This window comes from Homo sapiens, chromosome 4, assembly GCF_000001405.40.
Source record: "Homo sapiens chromosome 4, GRCh38.p14 Primary Assembly".
In the NCBI taxonomy this organism is placed as follows: domain Eukaryota; kingdom Metazoa; phylum Chordata; class Mammalia; order Primates; family Hominidae; genus Homo; species Homo sapiens.
Genome location: NC_000004.12, coordinates 156,862,209 through 156,882,432, shown reverse-complemented (window position 1 = coordinate 156,882,432; position 20,224 = coordinate 156,862,209). Strand labels below are relative to the sequence as shown.

General features: G+C 34.9%; 1 protein-coding gene across 7 annotated transcripts in view; it reads left to right on the top strand.

Annotated features, from left to right (window-relative positions):
* The window catches only part of PDGFC (platelet derived growth factor C), a 211,346-nt gene that overhangs the window by 89,367 nt on the left and 101,755 nt on the right, over positions 1-20,224 (top strand). Inside the window, exon 1 of one of the 7 annotated variants that reach the window (XM_047415971.1) lies at positions 607-8,527. The exons of the other annotated variants lie outside the window; for them this stretch is intronic. The gene's annotated coding sequence lies outside the window, so the exon portion shown is untranslated. Of the gene's footprint in view, positions 1-606; positions 8,528-20,224 lie in introns of those variants that run through there. 7 annotated transcript variants of the gene reach the window in all.

The window sequence follows — 20,224 nt, the reverse complement described above, 5'->3', positions numbered from 1 at the left end:
AATATTGTACTTTTTCTTCACATAAGGTAGATTCTGTGATGAGCTATATTTTTGTTATTTTTACTTTTTGGCACTAGGGAGAGAATTGTCTTAAGATTTTTAAGTCTTGGAGAAATTTGTTTATCTTAAAATACTTCGGTCAGAGCATTCTTTGATTAGAATTATGAATAACTACACAAAATTCAAAGTTAGGTAATGAATGCCAAGCTTAGTGGACTCAATTTTCAACTTAAAGAATTGATTTTCTTAACAATGTATTGTTTTAGTTGCGGAATAATGAAATAGCAGGATACTTAGGACTTGGGAGACTTACTACTATAGATACAGTCATACTTCAAATTTATTGCGTGTTTGCATGCAGACAGTAATAAAACAGGTGGTCAATAAAGGGAGTGTATTAGTCCATTTTCATGCTGCTGATAAAGACATACCTGAAACTAGGAAGTAAAAAGAGGTTTAATGGACTTACAGTTTCACATGTCTGGGGAGGCCTCACTATCATGGCAGAAGGCAAGCAGGAGTAAGTCATGTCTTACATGGATGGCAGCAAGCAAAGAGACAGAGAGCTTATGTAAGGAAACTCTTGCTTTTTTTTTTTTTTTTTTGAGACTGAGGCTCGCTGTGTCCCTGGCTGGAGTGCAGTGGTGCGATCTTGGCTCACTGTAACCTCTGCCTCCTGGGTTCAAGCGATTCTCCTTCCTCAGCCTCCCAGGTAGCTGAGATTACAGGCACATGCCAGCATGCCCCACTAATTTTGTATTTTTAGTAGAGACAGGGTTTCACCATGTTGGCCAGGCTGGTCTCGGACTCCTGACTCCAGGCGATCCACTGCCTCAGCCTCCCAAAGTAACTCCCATTTTTTAAGCCATCAGATCTTGTGAGAGTTATTGCTTATCATGAGAACACCACAGGAAAGACCTGCCTCCATGATTCAGTTATCTCCCGCTGGGTCCCTCCCACAACACGTGGGAATTATGGGAGCCACAAGATGAGATTTGGGTGGGAACACAGAGCCAAACCATATCAGGGAGTCACACAGATATTTTGATTTTCCAGTGCAGATAAAAATTACATTTGTACCACCCTATAGGCTATTCAGTATACAGTAGCATTATATCTAAACAACAATGTACATACCTTAAGTAAAAAAAAACACTTTATTGCAAAAAGTCTTAACAATCATCTAAGCCTTTAGCAAGTAGTAACCTTTTTGCTGTTAGAGGGTTTTGCCTCAATGTTAATGGCTGCTGACTGTTCAAAGTGGTGGTTGCAGAAATTTGGGGCGGCTGTGGCAGTTTCCTAAACGAAGACAACAATGAAGTTTGCTGCATCAATTGACTCTTCTTTTCACAAAACATTTCTCTGTAGCATGTCATGCCATTTTACAACATTTCACCTATAGTAAAACTTTTTTCAAAATTGGAATCAACACTCTCAATACCTGTTGTTGCTTTATCAACTAACTTTATGTAATACTCAAATCCTGTGTTGTCATTTTAACAGTATAACAGAACACCTCCATCAGGAGCAGATTCCATCTCCAGAAATCACTTTCTTTGCTCATCCATAAAAACAACTCCTCACAACTCCTCATCCATTCAGGTTTTATTATAATTTTGCAGCAATTCACTTACGTCTTCAGGCTCCACTTCTAAATTTCTTTCTCTTGCTATTTTCACATCTCTTTTTATTTCCACCACATCTTCCACTGCACTGTTGAACCCCTCAGTGTCATCCATGAGAGTGGAAACAACTTTTGAGATCCATCTGAGGAATCACTATCTCTGGACAGCTATACCCTAAATAAATGGATTCCTTAAATAATAAGACTTGAAACTTCAAATTACTTCTTGATTCATGGGCTTCAGAATGGTTGTTGTGTTAGCAGGCATGAAAACAGCATTAATATCCTTGTACATCTGCATCAGAACTTTTGGGTGACCAGGTGCGTTATCAATGAGCAGTAATATTTTGAAAGGAATCTTTTTTTCTTTCTGAGTAGTGGGTTTAAAATCTTCAGTAAACCATGCTGTAAAAATAGATATACTGTCACCCAGGCTTTGTTGTTCTATTTCTAGAACACAAGCAGAGATTTAACATAATTCTTAAAGGATCTAGTATTTTCAGAAAGGTAAATGAGCATTGATTTTAACTTCAATTCACCAATGGTGTTAGTCCCTAACAAGAGAGTCTACTTGTCCAATGGTTCTTTGAAGCTAGCCTTTGACTTTTCCTCACTAGCTATGAAAGTTCTAGATGACACCTTCTTCCAACTGAAGACTGTTTCACCTACATCGACGATCCGTTGTTTAGTGTAGCCACCTTCATCTGTCAGCTTAGCTTATCTTCTGGATAGCTTGCCACAGCTTCACTTTGTCCTTTTTTGTTATGGAGACAGCTTCTTTTCTTGAACCTCATGAACCAACGTCTGCTGGCTTCCAGCTTTTCTGCAGCTTACTCACCTCTCTCACCCTTCATAGAATTGAAAAAAGGGCTTTCTGTGGATTAGATTTTGGCTTAAGAGAATGTTGTGGTTGGTCTGATTTTCTGTTCAGAGAACAAAAACTTTATTTAGCTCAGCAACAGAAAGTTGTATCCTTGAAAGTCACCCTGGTAATTAATATATGATCAGAAAAGTAATTGACAATTTTACTTTGTAGGTTCCTGGGGGCTTTGAAAGAACTATGTTTATTTCAGGAAAGGAACAATAGTATGTTATCATTTGAAATGAAAACAGTAAAAATCTGCACTTTCTATTTAGTAGCCAGAAAATGTCCATAAATCCTGTTTTAGGGCACTGGAATTTGGAGTAAATGACCCATTGTTTGTATAAAGATTTAAACAAAGACTGATCATCAGCTTTATTCTTTATTATTAATGTCCTGTGCTTGTTAGTAAAACCCAGTTGCTTGGGTTTTTGTATCCCTGGAGAGTTTATTTTTGTTATCTTTTTCACTGTTAGGCTTCTTACTAAAGAGGGATTCAAGTAAGTAAATAACTTAAGAGAAGCAACAGGAATTGAAATCTATAAAGCTTTGTTTTCTCAACTTGGCACAACTGCATCTGCCTTTGCAGTCTGGGATTGGATGATTGATTTTATATCTTGGAAGCTCATTTTTATATGAGTGTGAAACGAGTCTTTCAAAATACACTTTGTGAAGATAACATTAATTAGTTACTGTCATCAACCAACAGGGACAAACCTCTCCTTTTTGTGATTTCTACAGGAGGATTGATTTAACTGTTAAATTTTGTCATGTTTTTCAAAGAGCAATAAAGAATCCCCCAGGAGGAAGAATGAGAAAAGAAGCAGCTCATTTTTGAGGATATGCTATGTACAAAACACCTCATAAGACAACTGACAGTACCTACCTTTCAGACAAATTATCTGAGTCACAGAGAAGTTACATAAATTAGTCGTGATCCCATAGCAAATGGTTGAGAAGATTTAAAGTCAAACATGTTTCCATTATTTAGGACCTATAAAGTGTCAAGCATCATGGTAGTCTTTGGACACATAAAGTCAACACAGGGCTACTTGGTAGGAGTTACTTCTAGGTAAAAGTCATTGTTCTCTAAAACTCTAGCCCTGTTAGTGTATTACAGAATGCTATTGGAAATGGAGCTTATAGACTATATGAAGAATCTGTAACAGAGGACATGGAAGCAGAGAAGTTTTTTTAATGTTAGACCAATGATTTGTATTACATCTGAAATGCTCCAAAATCTGAAACTTTTTGAGTGTCAACATGAAGCTCAAAGGAAATTCTCATTGGAGTATATTGCATTTTGCATTTTCTGATTAGGAATGCTCAACCGGTAAGTATATATAATGCAAATATTACAAAATCTTAAAAAATTCAAAATCTAAAATACTTCTGGTCACAACCATTTTGGATAAGGGCCACTCAGCCTGTATCACTGTCAGTTCTGTACTGGGAAGCCATATGTGTTTTTGAACAAAGGAATTATGTTATTTAGATTGACTTTGTTAATTGTAATTTTTAATAAAAATTTACAATTTTCTGGTGAATTTTATCTCTAGTAAAATTTAGTCTGTGATATTTTGCTTACATTCTACTTTGCTAAACCATTTCCTTATTCCTAAGCACGGAATGATTGGATCTGGTGACTGGACTTCACTGCTCCTTGCTCTCACCCTCCTCAGCAAATTTCAGTTTTACCTCCTCTCCTCTCACAGTTTTAATTCCTAGGTCTAAATTACAGATAGCCATCTGCCTACCCCCAACTCATGCACCTATTTACTAATTTCCCAAATATTTTTAAGCGCTTTCTATGTGCCAGGCCTTGAGTGCACAAATATTCGTTAAGTGCTTTCCATGTGCCATGCCTTGGGGCATGGTGGTAAGTAAGGCAAACCTAGTCCTATACCTCGGGAACTTACCTTCTAATTGAGGAGGCAAACAAGAAACAGCAATTAGTCTAATTGCTTTATTATATGTGCTATGAGAGACAAGGATAACATGTTAGGAGAGCATATTAGAAAAGGGGTGAGAATAGGGAATTATCCTAGCAGGGTAGATCAGGGAGATGACATTTGTGCTGAGACCTAAAGAGTGAATAGAGTTAACCAAGCAAAAAAATGTGGGATGCAGGTTGCCGGGGAGAGGTTGGGTGTCAGCTGGGGTCACCAAAGGGATGAACTCAGAAGAGGAAGTATATTTTATTTTATTTCCCATCTGAATTTTCTAGCACCATAGTGTCTGCACATTTAGATTTTATTAAATAAAAATGTAAAGTAGTATATTTTGCTTCACTTCCTGATTGCACATTCCTAGAATATTGGAATTTATATTTTAACTACCACAGTGCCTCGAATAATCCTTTGCATATAATATTTTCTCTACTGGTACTTGATTTAATATACTAACATTTTTTGCTTGATTTGGAATGGAGTCGGTAAAGAAGAAAGAATTTTTTTATAAAAATAACTTACATAGTCATTACTTACCCTATTATAATTTCACGATTGACTTACAATTATTTAGTTATGGTCATTTGAATGTGCTACTTAAAATTTGTCATGAGTAATTTTTAGATTAAAGAAGAGCAATGTTGAAAATGAAACTACTTGTGTATTTAGAAAGGTGATTACAATTGACAGTATTTTATTGTACATTTTAAAATAACTAAGAGTAAAATTGGATTATTTCCGTAACACTGAGAAAGGATAAATGCTTCAGGTCATGGAAACCCCATTTTCTCTATTATATATAATAATGTGATTATTAAGCATTGTATGCCTGTATCAACATATCTCATGTACCTCATAAATATATACACTTATTATGTACCCACAAAATTAAAAATTAAAAAAAGAAAAAGGAAAACAGAAAGGTGTGTAGAAGCTATATCATTTAGTGGTGTTGAAAGTTTTAATTTGAGATGTTTAGATAAATGGACCACTCTTTTTCAGGTTGTATTGTTTTTGACTGTTGAAAAGCAGAATGCAGATACATTCATTTTATTAATTGTAGAGCTCTTATACTTTTGAAAGAGAGCAAGTTATTGTGCTTTAGAATTGTACTGACTTTTTTTTGTTTTGATGGTGTCTTAACGAATAAAAATAATCTTATTAACAACAATAAAAATTCCTAGATTTCGTAGCTTTAATAAAGATAACACTTATCTCACCAGGTAATATGAAAAATAACATACAGTTTTAAGATTCCAAGGTTCTCACCAGAAGCTCTATATTATGAAGAAGAGACTGCTGTTATAATTTTGTGTATAAAGAAGAATCAAGCAGGGAAATTAAGGAGAAATCCAAGTAACCAAGACCTTTAACAGTGTACACAATGACTGAACTTTTTATAGGCTTTCTCAAACTTTTTCATTTTCATGCGATATATAAACCCTGCCCCTGCAGTCATGTGTATTTCCCTATGACTTAATTTTCTCATCTGTCAAATGGGGTACTAAATAGTACCTGTTTCAGAGTGTATTGGAAGATTAAGTAATTTGAAGTTTAGAAGATGTCTAATACTCAGTGAGTACACAATTAATATTAGCTGTTGTTTGCTCAATAGTCCAAATGATCAAGTAACTTTTTTCAATAAGGAAACACATCTTTTTGAACCTTTCGTAAACAAGTTCTTTAGTTGTTTTTACATAACTAAACAAATACTTATTTGGGTTAATTTGGTTTCTTTAAGGAGAACCTTGAAGAACTTTTCCCCAACATTTTATAATTTAAAATATTGTGAGAAAGTGACTAGAAACAGATACTTTTCCATTAAGTTTATAAAGGACATAGGGAAACTTTATATGCACACTCAGGTCATTGTTTTGTTTTGTTTGTGGTTTTTCAATACAAGAAAGTATTTGCTTTTGATTCTTTTTCTGTTCCAACTCATGTTTTCTTCCTCGGGAGCAGCTGTCATTCTTAGGTAGAATCTCCTTTCTTTGTGTACTCTATTAACTTCTCTTCCATCTCAGAGTAATTGATTCCTCAGCATTTTATTGATGATATGGAACAGCTTTTGAAATAATTTCTTCAGTTTTCTGTGCGAAATCACTTTTTTTCCCCCCAACAGGGTTTTGCTCTGTCACCCAGGCTGGAATGCAGTGGTACAACCTAGGCTCACTGCAGCCTCTGCCTCCCAGGTTCAGATTACAGGCGTGCAGCACCACACCTGACTAATTTTTGTATTTTTATTAGAGATGGGGTTTCACCATGTTGGCCAGTCTGTTCTCAAACTCCTGACCTCAAGTGATCTGCCCACCTCAGCCTCCCAAAGTGCTGGGATTACAGGCGTGAGCCACTGCGCCCGGCCTTAAATCACTTTTGAGGTAGATGTTTTTCTTTCCGATATGTCGGGACAAAATTACCTTTTCTTGTGCTGCAGCATTTTTTTCATAGTCTTCATATATTTATTTTACTATTTACCTTGCTTGAATGAAGAGACATCTGGTGAGACTAGGTTTTTACTGGCAGATAAGATGTGTGGACTTTCTTCTAATGGCTCAACTTCCACATGAGTGATGGTCATATTCCCTTTCCATCTCTGTAACTAGAAGGAAGGTTGATAAGCTTAGATTCAGCCCAGTTCTCAGTGGCTAGCATCATATGAAATGAAGTCAGGGTGTCTTTTATCTCTGTTGCCTCTGATTGTTATTGTGTTCCATATGGTGACATCATAGACATCTACAAATTCCACCATATGCAGTTACCAGGATCATCCCTGAATACACCCTGTTGATAACAGTTAACTTGCGGGTGTACCTCCTGCACTGCAGGCTTAACAGCTGCCATCTCTGTTTCTTTCTTCTTTCACTCATCAATTATTTTTGCTTTTTTTCCCTGTTAATTGCAATATCTGAATGGCCATACACATAGGAGGTTGTGAATAGTACTCTGGCCATTTAAAAATAATGTTTAAAATAGGGAAATAGGCCAGATCTGGTAGCTTGTGCTTGTAATCCCAGCACTTTGGGAGGCCAGAGTGGGCACATTGCTTGAGCTCAGGAGTTAGAGACAAGCCTGGACACCATGGCAAAAACCCTTCTCTACAAAAAAATACAAAAATTAGCTGGGCATCATGAGGTGAACCTGTAGTCCTAGCTACTCAAGAGGCTGAGGTGGGAGGATGGTGTGAGCCCCATAGGTAGAGGTTGCAGTGAGCTGAGATTGCGCCACTGCACACGAACCTAGGCAACATACTGAGACCCTGTATTTAAAAAAAAAAAATTAAAAAAAGAGAAAATGTATTTAGTCTTTTATAAATGCAGTGTTTTTGGCTAAGAGGCAATTCAAGGGAAGATGTTAAACATCTTCTTTCCTTTTTCTCAAGTGTGTTGGCTTTTTTGTTTCTTGAGCTAAATCATAGGCAGGCTACTGATTCATTTTTTATTTCAATTTCATTGACTTTGTTATTTGTAGAAATTCTTGGCAAAGCATATAAGGACTGTTTTGCTAGTAATAGGTTTCAGTTATATTTGAGTTTTCATCGTTTTTAGGGACTATCTTAGAAATCACTTTATACTTAAGCCTCTCAAAGGAGAGGCTTAAGTTGGAGTGCTCAAAACTAGCTATTTAATAAATGGTTAGACTATTCAAATAAATATTACAGAGCTGATGATCTATAATATTTTTCCTTCTTAATTCTATGAAAAAGGTAATTTTATGGTGTCTATTAATTTTTTCCTTTTGTATTATGGTTAAGACAATTTATTAACTGTATAATACACAGCTATATGTTATCATCTGTGACATTTTGTGAACATCCCATAAGTTAATGTCACGTATCAGAGATAATGTTCAAAGCTGTTTATTTTCTAGAAAATACTTTATGTCTAGTATTTGACCATGCCACACTGCCATCAGTATTGTAAGTCTCCTGAGAACTACTGCTGCACATGATGATATATGCATATGACACAATAAACACCAGATCATAGTTGTAATTCATGGATGAGGTTGGGCTTTCAGTGTTTTGAGCAGGAAAGACTTGATAGCTTCAGACAATTTAGTGAGTAAGGGAACGATCTTTTGGAGGACTGGGATGTAAGTCGTCTTTGAATTACTTTGTATAGAGGACTGTCATTTACTCAAAGCTGATATTTTTCATTTCTTTTAAAAGGCAGGACCTGTCAATTCAATTCTTCCAGCAAATGCTGTGAATTGCAAAATAAGTCCAAGGACTGTTCTGGCAGGGATCTTGGGATTAAAACAATGAACACATTAGCCCTGGTGCCATGTTCATGGACCTTCGAGCCATTATATTACATTTAAGAAATTGCATTACATAGTGTCACAACTTTTACCAAACCATATCCTTTTGTGCTATTATTCAGTAAATATTTTTTCTTACATTGGGCAAGGAATTTTTTCTTAAATGAATAGATTTCAAAAAGAAGTTATAGGAAATGTCTGTGGAAACAAAATGCGATTTATGTATACTGAATATTTATTAATTATCAACTATTAAGATGAAGAACATGCCCTTTTATGTAGTGCTTGAAATCATATTAAGAACAATTAATGGTACAACTACCACACCTTCAGAAACAGTGGTTCAGAATCATTCTGGAACCAAATACCTGGAAGGAGATTGTCTATCACTATCACTTCAGGAATTTGGGAGTAAGGGGTGGGCACTGTTCTCAAACTGTTCTTCCTGAAACCTGTCCCTAGTGAGCTCCTACAGTTGATGAGTAAAAAGGAATTGAAAAACACTAGTCTTGCAAGTGGGGTTTGTAATAAATAATATATCTTTTGTGTCTTTTGTAATCTCATTATACATTTAGAATTATATATGAGCATTCTTCTTCCTTATGTTTTTAGTTTGAGACAGGGTCTTTCTCTGTAGTCCCGGCAGTGGTGCAGTCACAGCATACTGCAGCCTAAAATTTCTGGGCTCAGGCGATCCTTCTGCCCTCAGTCTCCTGAGTAGCTGGGACTACAGGTGTACAACACTACACCTAGATATTTTATTTATTTACAGTAGAAATCAGGTCTCACTGTGTTGCCCAGACTGGTCTTGAACTCATGGGCTCAAGTGATTCTCCCACCTTGGCCTCCCAAGGGGTGGGATTATAGGCATGAGCCATCGCACCTGGCTGACAATCTTACAATGTAAAAACTTTTAACAAGAGACTATGGATACAAATAAATTTTTAATTTCCTAGCAATCCTAGAACAGTTGTGTACTTAAATGTTTATTTGGTACAGAAGCATTCCTTATCAAAGGTCAAGTCATTTGAGATTATTCAGCAGAATTAGCATGGAATGTTGGAATATATAATAAGACATATTTTGTGAGCTTAAGTAATTTCTAATCTAGTTAAAGAGATGAAACTTAAAAACATACTTTAATTAAAGAACCATGAAGGCCTATAAGCTTAAGTTGCAAAGTGTGTGAGTCTGAAGGATGTGCATCAGGCATTCAGATGGGATGAGAGGAGTGTGTACTAAGGGTCCGGGGCCCTTGGGCAAGAAGTCAGACTCTGGCACTTTGAAGCCTTGAGTCAATGGTGTGTTCCAATTGGAGTGCATCAAAGCAATACCACCAATAATGTTTGCTAATGTATGTGCTAGAAAAAGTAAATTCTTAATCACTTTTTTTTAGATTTGAAGATTTTGTCTTGTTTGCCTGTCTTCTGTGCCATAGCTTCATTGCTTGGATTTCTCAGAAATCCACATCTTTGCCATATTGTTTGAAATTGGGCTTATGTACACATACACACATACATTTAAGTATATTATATTAGCATATATTAAATGGCAAGCACACTAAATGACAACAGCTGTGACTGTCATGGTTTAATCAGAGTGTGCAAAGCTGATATTTTTAATCCATCATGGTAAATAAGAGTTTTAGTCGTCTTCCATTGTGTATAGTCTTTTATTAAGAGGTTTTCTTTTGTTGTTGTTGTTTGCTCTTTAGTTTATTAATTTGTTTTCCTTAAAATTTGCCATTGCTTTATTGGGAATCAATAAAACCATAGATTTATTAGGAAAACTATTTGAGAAATAGCCTTTAGCGTTATCTAGTAAGCAGTAGTACAGAAGTATAAGCATGCTGTCAATACATCTTCAGGTTCACTTTTATCTTTCTGTGTGCAAAACATGACTGGGATTCTAATGTTTGTTTACAAGAATACTTAAATATGATACACTGTCCTGTAACACTTATAAGTCATCCATAGACTCAATTTAATCTGGAATAATGTTTTTAAAATAGTTTTTAATTAAGCTCAACAATAAAGTACTTATATAGTATATTCTAAGCAATATAGTCTTCTTAATAAATTATATTCCCAGGTGTGTCTCGACTAATTTGCATTTGAAATAAAATATTTTAGGCACATTTTCTATTTAGTTTATGTATAAAAATATGTACATATTGAGCAAAAATTGTTGAAGGCTTTAAAATAAGCCGAGATTGATAATAGATAAGGTCTTTTACACATGACCCATTTATGCCTGGCGTATTTCTTCACCCATTTTAACTTTTTGATTGTATGTGCATCATTTCTTATCTTCAGTCAAATTTGGAAATCAAAATCTCAGAATAATGCTTTAATTTTTTGGTTAGACTCACTGGGTCCTTATAATTGCTAGTTTTCTCGATCTGCAGTCTTTGCCAGGGGGGGAAAAATAAATCTAATCCCTTTTAGGCCTGTTTATCTATAAATTCTCTAGTTTTGTTCCAGTTCCTGCCATTCATTTCTGTTTTAGTGCTAATATTTTCAAGGAGTTTCTTGCGCACTTCCCATTATAAGCTGATTAAAACCCCTGTCTTGGCATCTACTAATAGAAGTTGCAGCTGCTCCTATAAACTGAGCAGTTAATAGGAAGGAATACGAAGGATTATAGCCTTTTCCTTTTCACATTGTTTTTCCTGCACCAGACTCTATATAAAAAGCTCCTGCTTGTGAAGAATCATTTTGTTTGCCCATAGGATTTTCTCTCTGCATTAACTTTTAGTGTTTTGAACCACTCAGCATTCAATGTTTTTTACTCTCTTTTAAACTTTAAGTTTTCCTTTGTGCAGCTTCTTTAATGAAACTTTCCAATCGCTTTACAGAGAATAGCTTTTTTTGATCCTCTAACTATAGCAAGACATAGTATACAAATACATTACACTATAACTGATTTCAACTTTGGAAAACTGTGTGAACATGTATCAGTGAGAAAGTCACTTAGTTACTTTTAGGAAATAACTGTGTGTTAAAAGGATTTTTAATCTTCTGTAGTGTTTATACATCAACGGCTTAGGGTTGAACATTCTTTTGAAGCACTCATCCTGTATTTCGTATTAAATAAATTTGGATTAATAAGCCTTGTGGAAGTGTCTTCGTAATATTAATTTATTTATAAGTGAGGAGGAGAAGATCCATTTAAATACAACAGGGATAATACTTTGTTCAGGAATTATAGAGAAGAGTTAATTCCATAGAAACAGAATAAAGGAAACTCTCTATGAAGTAGAAGATAATAATATATCAGGTCCTCATCTTTTCATTCAAGACTTAAGACAAAAATGTCTCCTTAAATTCACTTCAGCCTTGTGGTTTTCTAATGTTATGAAATATTGTCTGTTTTGAAACACTTTAAGATTTATTTTCTGATGAAATTCCTTTGGAGGCAATACATGGGTAAGAGGTGGAAGGAGAGGAAAAAAAATCCTATTAAGCTAATAAGAGAAAAAACTTGTTAAAGTGTTATAAATATATAGAAAGAGTTGAAAGGAAGAAGACATGTTAGAGAGATGAAGTGGGGAAGTAAATGAATCACTTCGGTTAAGTGGATTCTTAATTTATTGCTGGCTACTAACCATGATCTTAGTTTTCTTAATTTTCATTGTGATACATGAAACAGAGAATGGGGAAAGTCTGAACCTTACAGTAAGTGATATTTAGAATCTTAGCCATCAATATGGGAAAATACATGTACCATAAAAAAAAGCTGGGTTTTTTTTTTAAGTTTGGGAGTTAAATGTACAATAATATCTATTTGACATTATGAGAGTTATATTTTCTTAAATTAGATACAAAAGACTCAGAATTTGACTGTATTAAAATTAAAATATTTATTTGTGTATGTGTGTGTGACAAAAACCATAACAATGCTTAAGGAATAAAGTCAAATCAGAACCAGTATTATTCTCAATCTTGTTCACTGAAATGTTTAATTTAAAAAGACACGAATAGGCATATTTGGTGGAATATTTTTATTTCCTCAGCTGATTCTTTAAGAAAGTATGAAATTATCAGTATTCATTTTATTATAGAAAATTTGTTTCAATTTTAGTTCAATATCCAGTGGTACACAAATGTAGTATTGATTAAATGAAGTATTGATTAAAAATTACAAAACTCTTGCGTTGAAGGGCTGGAAAACTGAGGTTTTCTTAGAGAAGAGGAGGATTACTGTATGAGAAAGCTAAATAATCCATATTGAAGACAATTGCAAAAACAACAGTAGCTATGTGATAAGCATTATTCATATGCTAGGATCATTTTTTTTTTTGAGATGGAGTCTTGCTCTGTCACCCAGGCTGGAGTGCAGTGGCGCAATCTGGGCTCACTGCAAGCTCTACCTCCTGGGTTCAAGCCATTCTCCTGCCTCAGCCTCCGGAGTAGCTGGGACTACAGGCACCCGCCACCATGCCTGGCTAATTTTTTGTATTTTTAGTAGAGATGAGGTTAGACCACCCTGTTAGCCAGGATGGTCTCGATCTCCTGACCTTGTGATCCGCCCGCCTCTGCCTCCCAAAGTGCTGGGATTACAGGCATGAGCCACCGCACCTGGCCGGTCATTTTTATTTAAAACCTAATTATATTAAATTGAAGATCTCTTCATCAACAGAAGTTCAAGTAAAAAAATTATCAGATTTTGAGGCTTACTGGCAGTGAAATAGTGATTCCATTAATTGAAATTAGAAACTAATGTAGAGGAGAAACTAGAGTTCCTAAACTGATCGTGAGTTTGCAGTAGGATATATTGAGTTTGGAACATTTTGGAATGTGATTTTGTGGTTTGAAAAAGAGTTCTGAGCTATTGCTATAGATTTAAAGAGGATGTGTTTGTGAAAGTACTTGAGAACACCAAGGATTTATGATTATAGAAAGAAGACGGAGGATAGAATCTTGAAGAAGAACCAACTGCAGGTATAAAAGGATACAGTTCTATAGAATATCTAAGATAGTAAAGGAAGTAAGAAGTGCTGCCAGTAACACAATAAAATATAGCCATTAAAAGGTCAATTAAGAACTAGCAGGTGGTTCACTGATAGAAAACTGTTATAACAGTTTTATAATAGAAACAGTTGAAATAGAAAACAGTTGAAAATGTCTGTATTGCTTGCTGTTTTAAGTGATACTAAAAGATAGTATGCTTCGAATTTTGGGAGAGTTGCTTTTACATATCCTCTTTGGGTTTTCCTAGGATGTTTTTGTTCATCGTAAAGCATCACTAGGTTGATCTTCTACCAGATGTACTGAGCCTTTCTTTGTTGTTTTAAATGTTGGTGACAGATAATCCTTAATGGGTAGTGTTCACACAGGACTCTTTCAGAACAATTTATTTTTCCAGCACTAAAATCTTCTTTGACTTTAAAGTGACCTGTGAAAGATTTAGTTTCCGACTCAACAATTAATTTTGCATTACATAAATATTTCATTTGAAGTTTCAAAATGCTCGCCTTTATTTTTGGTGACAGGTATGATTGTCACTAAAACTTTCAGATTTGTGACATTCATAGGATTTAATATACTGCATTTTTTGTCAAAAAGTATTTAATCTCCTTTTATCACATTACTTTTGTCAGTGAATCAAGTGATTTGGTCTTGGCTGGGTGCGGTGGCTCACACTTGTATTCCCAGCACTTTGGGAGGCCAAGGTAGGTGGTTCACTTGAGGCCAGCTGGGTGTGGTGGTGCACACCTTTAATCCCAGCTACTGGGGAGGCTGAGGCACAAGAATCGCTTGAACCCAAGAAGTGGAGGTTGCAGTGAGCCAACATTGGGCCCTGTACTACAGCCCGGGCGACAGAGCAAGACTCTGTCTCAAAAAAAACAAACAAAAAATTGATTTGGTCTTTTTAAATTTGAATCTAACTTCCACATTTTTTCTTTTACACTTACATAAATTCTTAGCACTCCGATCAATTCCTTTGTTTGGGGTTTCATATTTTCAGTTTTGTGAGCTTTGTTTAATATGAAAACAGTATGAAACCTAGTGGTATCACAAGTTCGTGAACAGCAGGAGCGATAAGTCACTTAAAATATGAAGCTCATGAGGTTGTGTTGATTATTTTTCAATTCTCTAATCTTTTTCTAGATGACCTGCCGCTCTTCTTAAGGTAACAACAGGGTGTGGGAGAATTGATACATGAATACTCTTGAATTGACAGATAAGTACACTTGGCTTTGGTGATGTTAACATAGCTCTGTGCGCACCCCTTTCACTACCATGACCATCACCCATTACCACCATCTCCTGAAGCAAAAACAAATCTTAAAGATTGTGAATGTGAAGACATTGCATGCTTTTAAAAGTCACTTAGTTTAAGAGAAAGAAGTATCACCTGGCATTATTGCCTAGAGCTCTGTCGTTCACGTAGATTGCACTGGTATGTGTAGAGCAAAGGGCCGGGGCTTCAATGCAGCAGGCTGGCTGCAGGTTGTATGCCCTGTCAATGAGTATTTGTTGATTGTTGACTGCATATTTATATGTAATTATAAAATCTAGATCTACTTAGAATATGATCCATACATGATTTATTAAAAATTTCAGCTTAATATTCATGCTAACATATTTAATTACTGATTTTAAAATGAAATATTAAAAAAATTATAGTATAACCCCTTTATAAGGATGCCTATTATACTCTACTTTTTTTATAACGTACTCCATTGTTACACTTCTTTATGGAAAGGAGTAAGTGAAAAATAAGGCGATCCCAGTTATTAACTGTCTTCTCCATTCCACTTACAACACTCAGTAGCAGGTACAGACGTGATGATGATTCCAGAGCATTATATGAGTCTGACTCCAAGGAAGATTAGAGATGCATTCACTGTATACCATTTTACCATGCATTTACTGTACTGTGCTCACTAATGGATTACAGGAGAGAACCTATTTACAATACTATTGTCAAGAAAAACTGTTTTAATTAATGTTAAGCAAAAAATTAGATTGTGTATATAATACTTAAATATAGATAGTACTGGTTATTTTTTTAAACTTTCTTTAATATCCTTTATGAAATAGAAGGTCTGATGGTATTGGTCAAATGGTACAAAGTTTCAGGATGAAATGACACTTAATGTACCAATTGGGGCAATAGTTACAATAATGTAGTGTATGCATGAAATTGGCTAAGAGGATAGATCTTAAATAAACACACACACACACGCACACACCCACACACGTCCCCCCACCCACTGCACATGGTAACTGTGTAGAGGTGAGAGATATGTTAAAGTAAGTCTGGTGAAAGATTTTAATTATGTCATTTCAACAGTTCCTTAGGAACTAAAAAATACAACATATGCAATCCTTGTGTTTGTTACTACTTTTCAGTCTGACCAAATGAGCTTTTTTTGCTGTTAAAAAGAAAAAAAATGTGGCACATACACACAATGGAATACTATGCAGCCATAAAAAATGATGAGTTCATGTCCTTTGTAGGGACATGGATGAAACTGGAAACCATCATTCTCAGCAAACTATCGCAAGGACAAAAAACCAAACACTGCATGTTCTCACTCATGGGTGGGAATTGAACAATGAGAACACATGGACACAGGAAGGGGGACATCACACACTGGGGACTGTCCTCGGGTGGGGGCAGTGGAGAGGGATAGCCTTAGGAGATATACCTAATGCTAAATGACACGTTAATGGGTGCAGCACACCAACATGGCACATGTATACATATGTAACAAACCTGCACGTTGTGCACATGTACCCTAAAACTTAAAGTATAATAATAATAAAATTTAAAAAAAAGTAGAGGAAAACTTTTTATGGTGTTTTGTTAAACGAAGCACTATTAACTTAATCAAAACAAGAACGAGGATCAAATTAAATCTATTTTATGCTACCTGACCCACCTACATCGCTCAAGAAAACCACTGCTCATTTTAAAACATATGAACTTCTGCTACAACTCACCCCAAGGGTACTGTTTACTGTTGCCAGAGAAGGAAGCAGCTTTGTCATCAATCTATGCCTGTGGTTTGGACCTTCCTCCCTGGTGGGGTTCACGATTTTTATTACTTTTTTCTCCTCTTTGTTCATAATGTCTTAATCTAGTTAGAAGTTTTCTAATTGGTAGAGTGGTGATGGTAGTGTCTTTTACAGTATAGCTTTAAGATAATTCACATGAGTGACTAACAGTTTCTGGCTCATTCTAGATGGCCCCAAATTGTTAACAGCTTTTGTCATTTTCCCTTAAAAACTATTGGAGTAAATTCATCCTTTTAAGGATGTACAATTGAGTTATCTACTATATTCTTTTCTATATACATTTTCTGATAAAAAGCTTTTTAAATTTCTCCAGAAAAGTTAATAATTTTTAAAATTATGTAATATAAAGAATTCCTAGATTGTTCTAAATTAGACATTGGATATGCGTTTTTCCTGACAGTATATCAACTAATTTTATAGAGTTACGTTGGAAGTATGTGAAATGATACCCCTGTGTTCATGCTGGACCACTTTGTGTATGTGTTTGTATCTGCGTGTGTGTGTGTGTGTGTGTGTGTGTGCACATGTATCTTCTAATCCTAAAGTGAAAAATTTATCCATTGTTTTGCTTCATGATGAAAAAGTTATTTTTGGAGAAAGGGTTCTTAACCTTCATTTCATAGATAAAGTGGTTTGTAGATGGCTTCTTGGGGTCTGGTGAATATTTTGAAATTATATTCTATTGTGTGAACACTGAGAGTGTATATAATTTTAGATTGTACAGATATATAATTTTCTGATTTGACCATCCATAGCTTTCATCAGATTCTCAAAACTTTCTCAAGCCATTGGTTTAAAAGGATCAAACGTAACTTTGGTTTTTAAGTAGTTGGTTCAGAAGTTTAACATACTTGAGGAATTTTGAAGGCTAGTTTTATAATTGGAGCAATTATAAAGGAACAGAGGATTATAGACATTATTTAGCAAATCATGTTAAGGTTTGTTTTTGTCTCAAAACTTTCTTCATCATTATATTCTTCTGTCTGGGTCATCCTTACTGGCATGCTCTTTATCATAATGGTGCTACTATATTGTACTGCCGTACCACACCAGAATATCAGTTCTAAACATTACCTTTCAAACCCCACATCCAGCACAGAAAAAGGCCATCTAAAAAAAGTTTTCATCTTGGAATTGTGGTGAGGAGGGGAATTGTGAAGAGAAAAATATCAAATTTGTTAATGATTAGTATACACGTTTTTCCCAAGTCAAGCCAAGAAAATGGCATTTTATTTTTAAAACAATATTTGACTTTTGACTTCAGAAAGGAAAAAATAATTTCTTCATGTATATGATACTTTTTTGAAGTTGCTAGTTTTATTTCAGGGATCTCATATATCATGGTGAATTAATTCCAAGTATGAATTTAATATAACTCTATTCCATAGAAACAGATTTTATGACACGGTAATCAGTTGCTGGTGTCTTTTTGTAGAATATGGGGGATCTCAGTCAGTTCTTAACACAGTGGCCTTCAGTAAGCAATGGTAGTTCAGAAACCAACCCTTACATTACCCTTTTTATCCACCAAATTTTATTTGTAAATATGTTTGCAGGTGAAATATAAACTTTTTTCTTAGGCAGTTTAGCCAGTCAGCAAATATTTATTGAATGTCTATTATGTGTGAGGCACTGTGCTATGTGTTAGGAGATACAGTAGTTAAAACAAACAAATGAACTAAACCAAACCAAAACAACAACAACAAAAAAAACAAGAAACAAACAGAAGCTTTGGCAAAAAAAGTGATTTTATTAATTAAATTATGCGCAGATACTTTAAAAACTAAGTAATCAAATAATTAAATGAATATATGTGTGAAAATTGAATTCATTGTGAGGGATATGAAATGTGTACTTTAATGAAGATTCAGTTTTTCATATTTTTAACCCTCATCAGTGAACACATTTGGAATGATCTCTTGTCTTCTCTAAGTTAATATGAAATTTACCACTTTTTAAGAGTATCAAATTCGGGAACGGTATTTATAATCTGAAGTAGAATTAATGTTAACCCTACTGATTCAAGCAGTGGAGTGAAGCCAGAATCCAGCAAATCATTAATAATTGGTAAAGATGTCTCTTACTTCATTGGTAATATTAGAAACACCCCACAAATAACCCACTGAAAAGCAGTAAAACTGTTATTGGATCATATTAGTTATTAAAGTTATTAGGATTGTTACTGTTTTTGTTGTTTTACCTATTTTAAGATAAAGTACTGTAAATATAACAGCTATTGCCAAGTTTACGAAAACAAAGAAAAAGTTACACTCAGTGGGCTGAGTTGAATAAAGAGGCAATAGGAAAATATACACTTGTGAATTAATCACACAAACATCCAGGTTGAAAATTTTCCTGGAGTAGTGTAATATAGTGGAAAGAAAATAGTATTTAGACTCAAAAGATTTGTATTGAAGGTTTATGTTGTCATTAGGAAAATTATAGTGTCCAGTTTTTCTGGGGATATTCACAGTTTATGTCTGTTTGTCTGACATAATTAATAACATCACTCTCTTTTATTCTCAAAAATGTATTGTTTAGACAAGATATTATATGATGACCCTTATTTATTGTGACAACTAATTCTGTTTTCATAATAATTAAGTGTGCATGATACAATTAGTTTTTATTTGTTGTTTTAGCTGGTAAAAACTTATGTATGAGAAGGTTTTTTGTAATCGGAAAATCATTGTAAGAACTATAAAGAGATACATAGGCCGGTTGTGGTGGCTCAGGCCTATAATCCAAGTACTTTGGGAGGCTGAGGTGGATGGATCATGAGGTCAGGAGTTCAAGACCAGCCTGGCCAAGATGGTGATACCCCGTCTCTACTAAAACTACAAAAATTGGCCAGGCGCGGTGGCAGGTGCCTGTAATCCCAGCTACTACAGAGGTTGAGGCAGGAGAATTGCTTGAACCCAGGCAGCAGAGGTTGCAGTGAGCAGAGACTACACTCAGCCTGGGTGACCAAAAAAAAAAAAAGAGAGAGAGATAAAGATGTTTGTATTCATTTGGGCAAAGTGATTAAGGTGACTATAAAATAGAGTAGTTTTATTTTTATCATATCACTCTTAAACAATTAACATTGGTGTTTTTTGGATTATTTGTGTAATGTCCATTCTCTGAAAGTGTGTTGTGTTGAAATCAACTCACAGACCATGGCAACAAGCAATATTAAAACTTTGACTTTGCCTTTGATAAGAGATATATTTCATTGAATTAAAATTCAATGGGTTTACTAAACTGAGAAAATGGAAGAATTATTTTGTAGTTTCATCAGTGTTCAATTTTGAATGTTCTTCAGTTTATTCTCTTTATCATCTTCAAGAGGTACCTCATGCCTTTCTATTAGCTTTGAAAATGAAAATAATTTTATTATTTCTGTAAGTCATTATCAGCAGTCACAGATGTTAATGTTCTTCCCTATTAATTTGATCTTAAGTGTGCAATTGTCAAACACTTCTGTGCAGCTCTATTCATGAATCCTGTTTTATTTCAG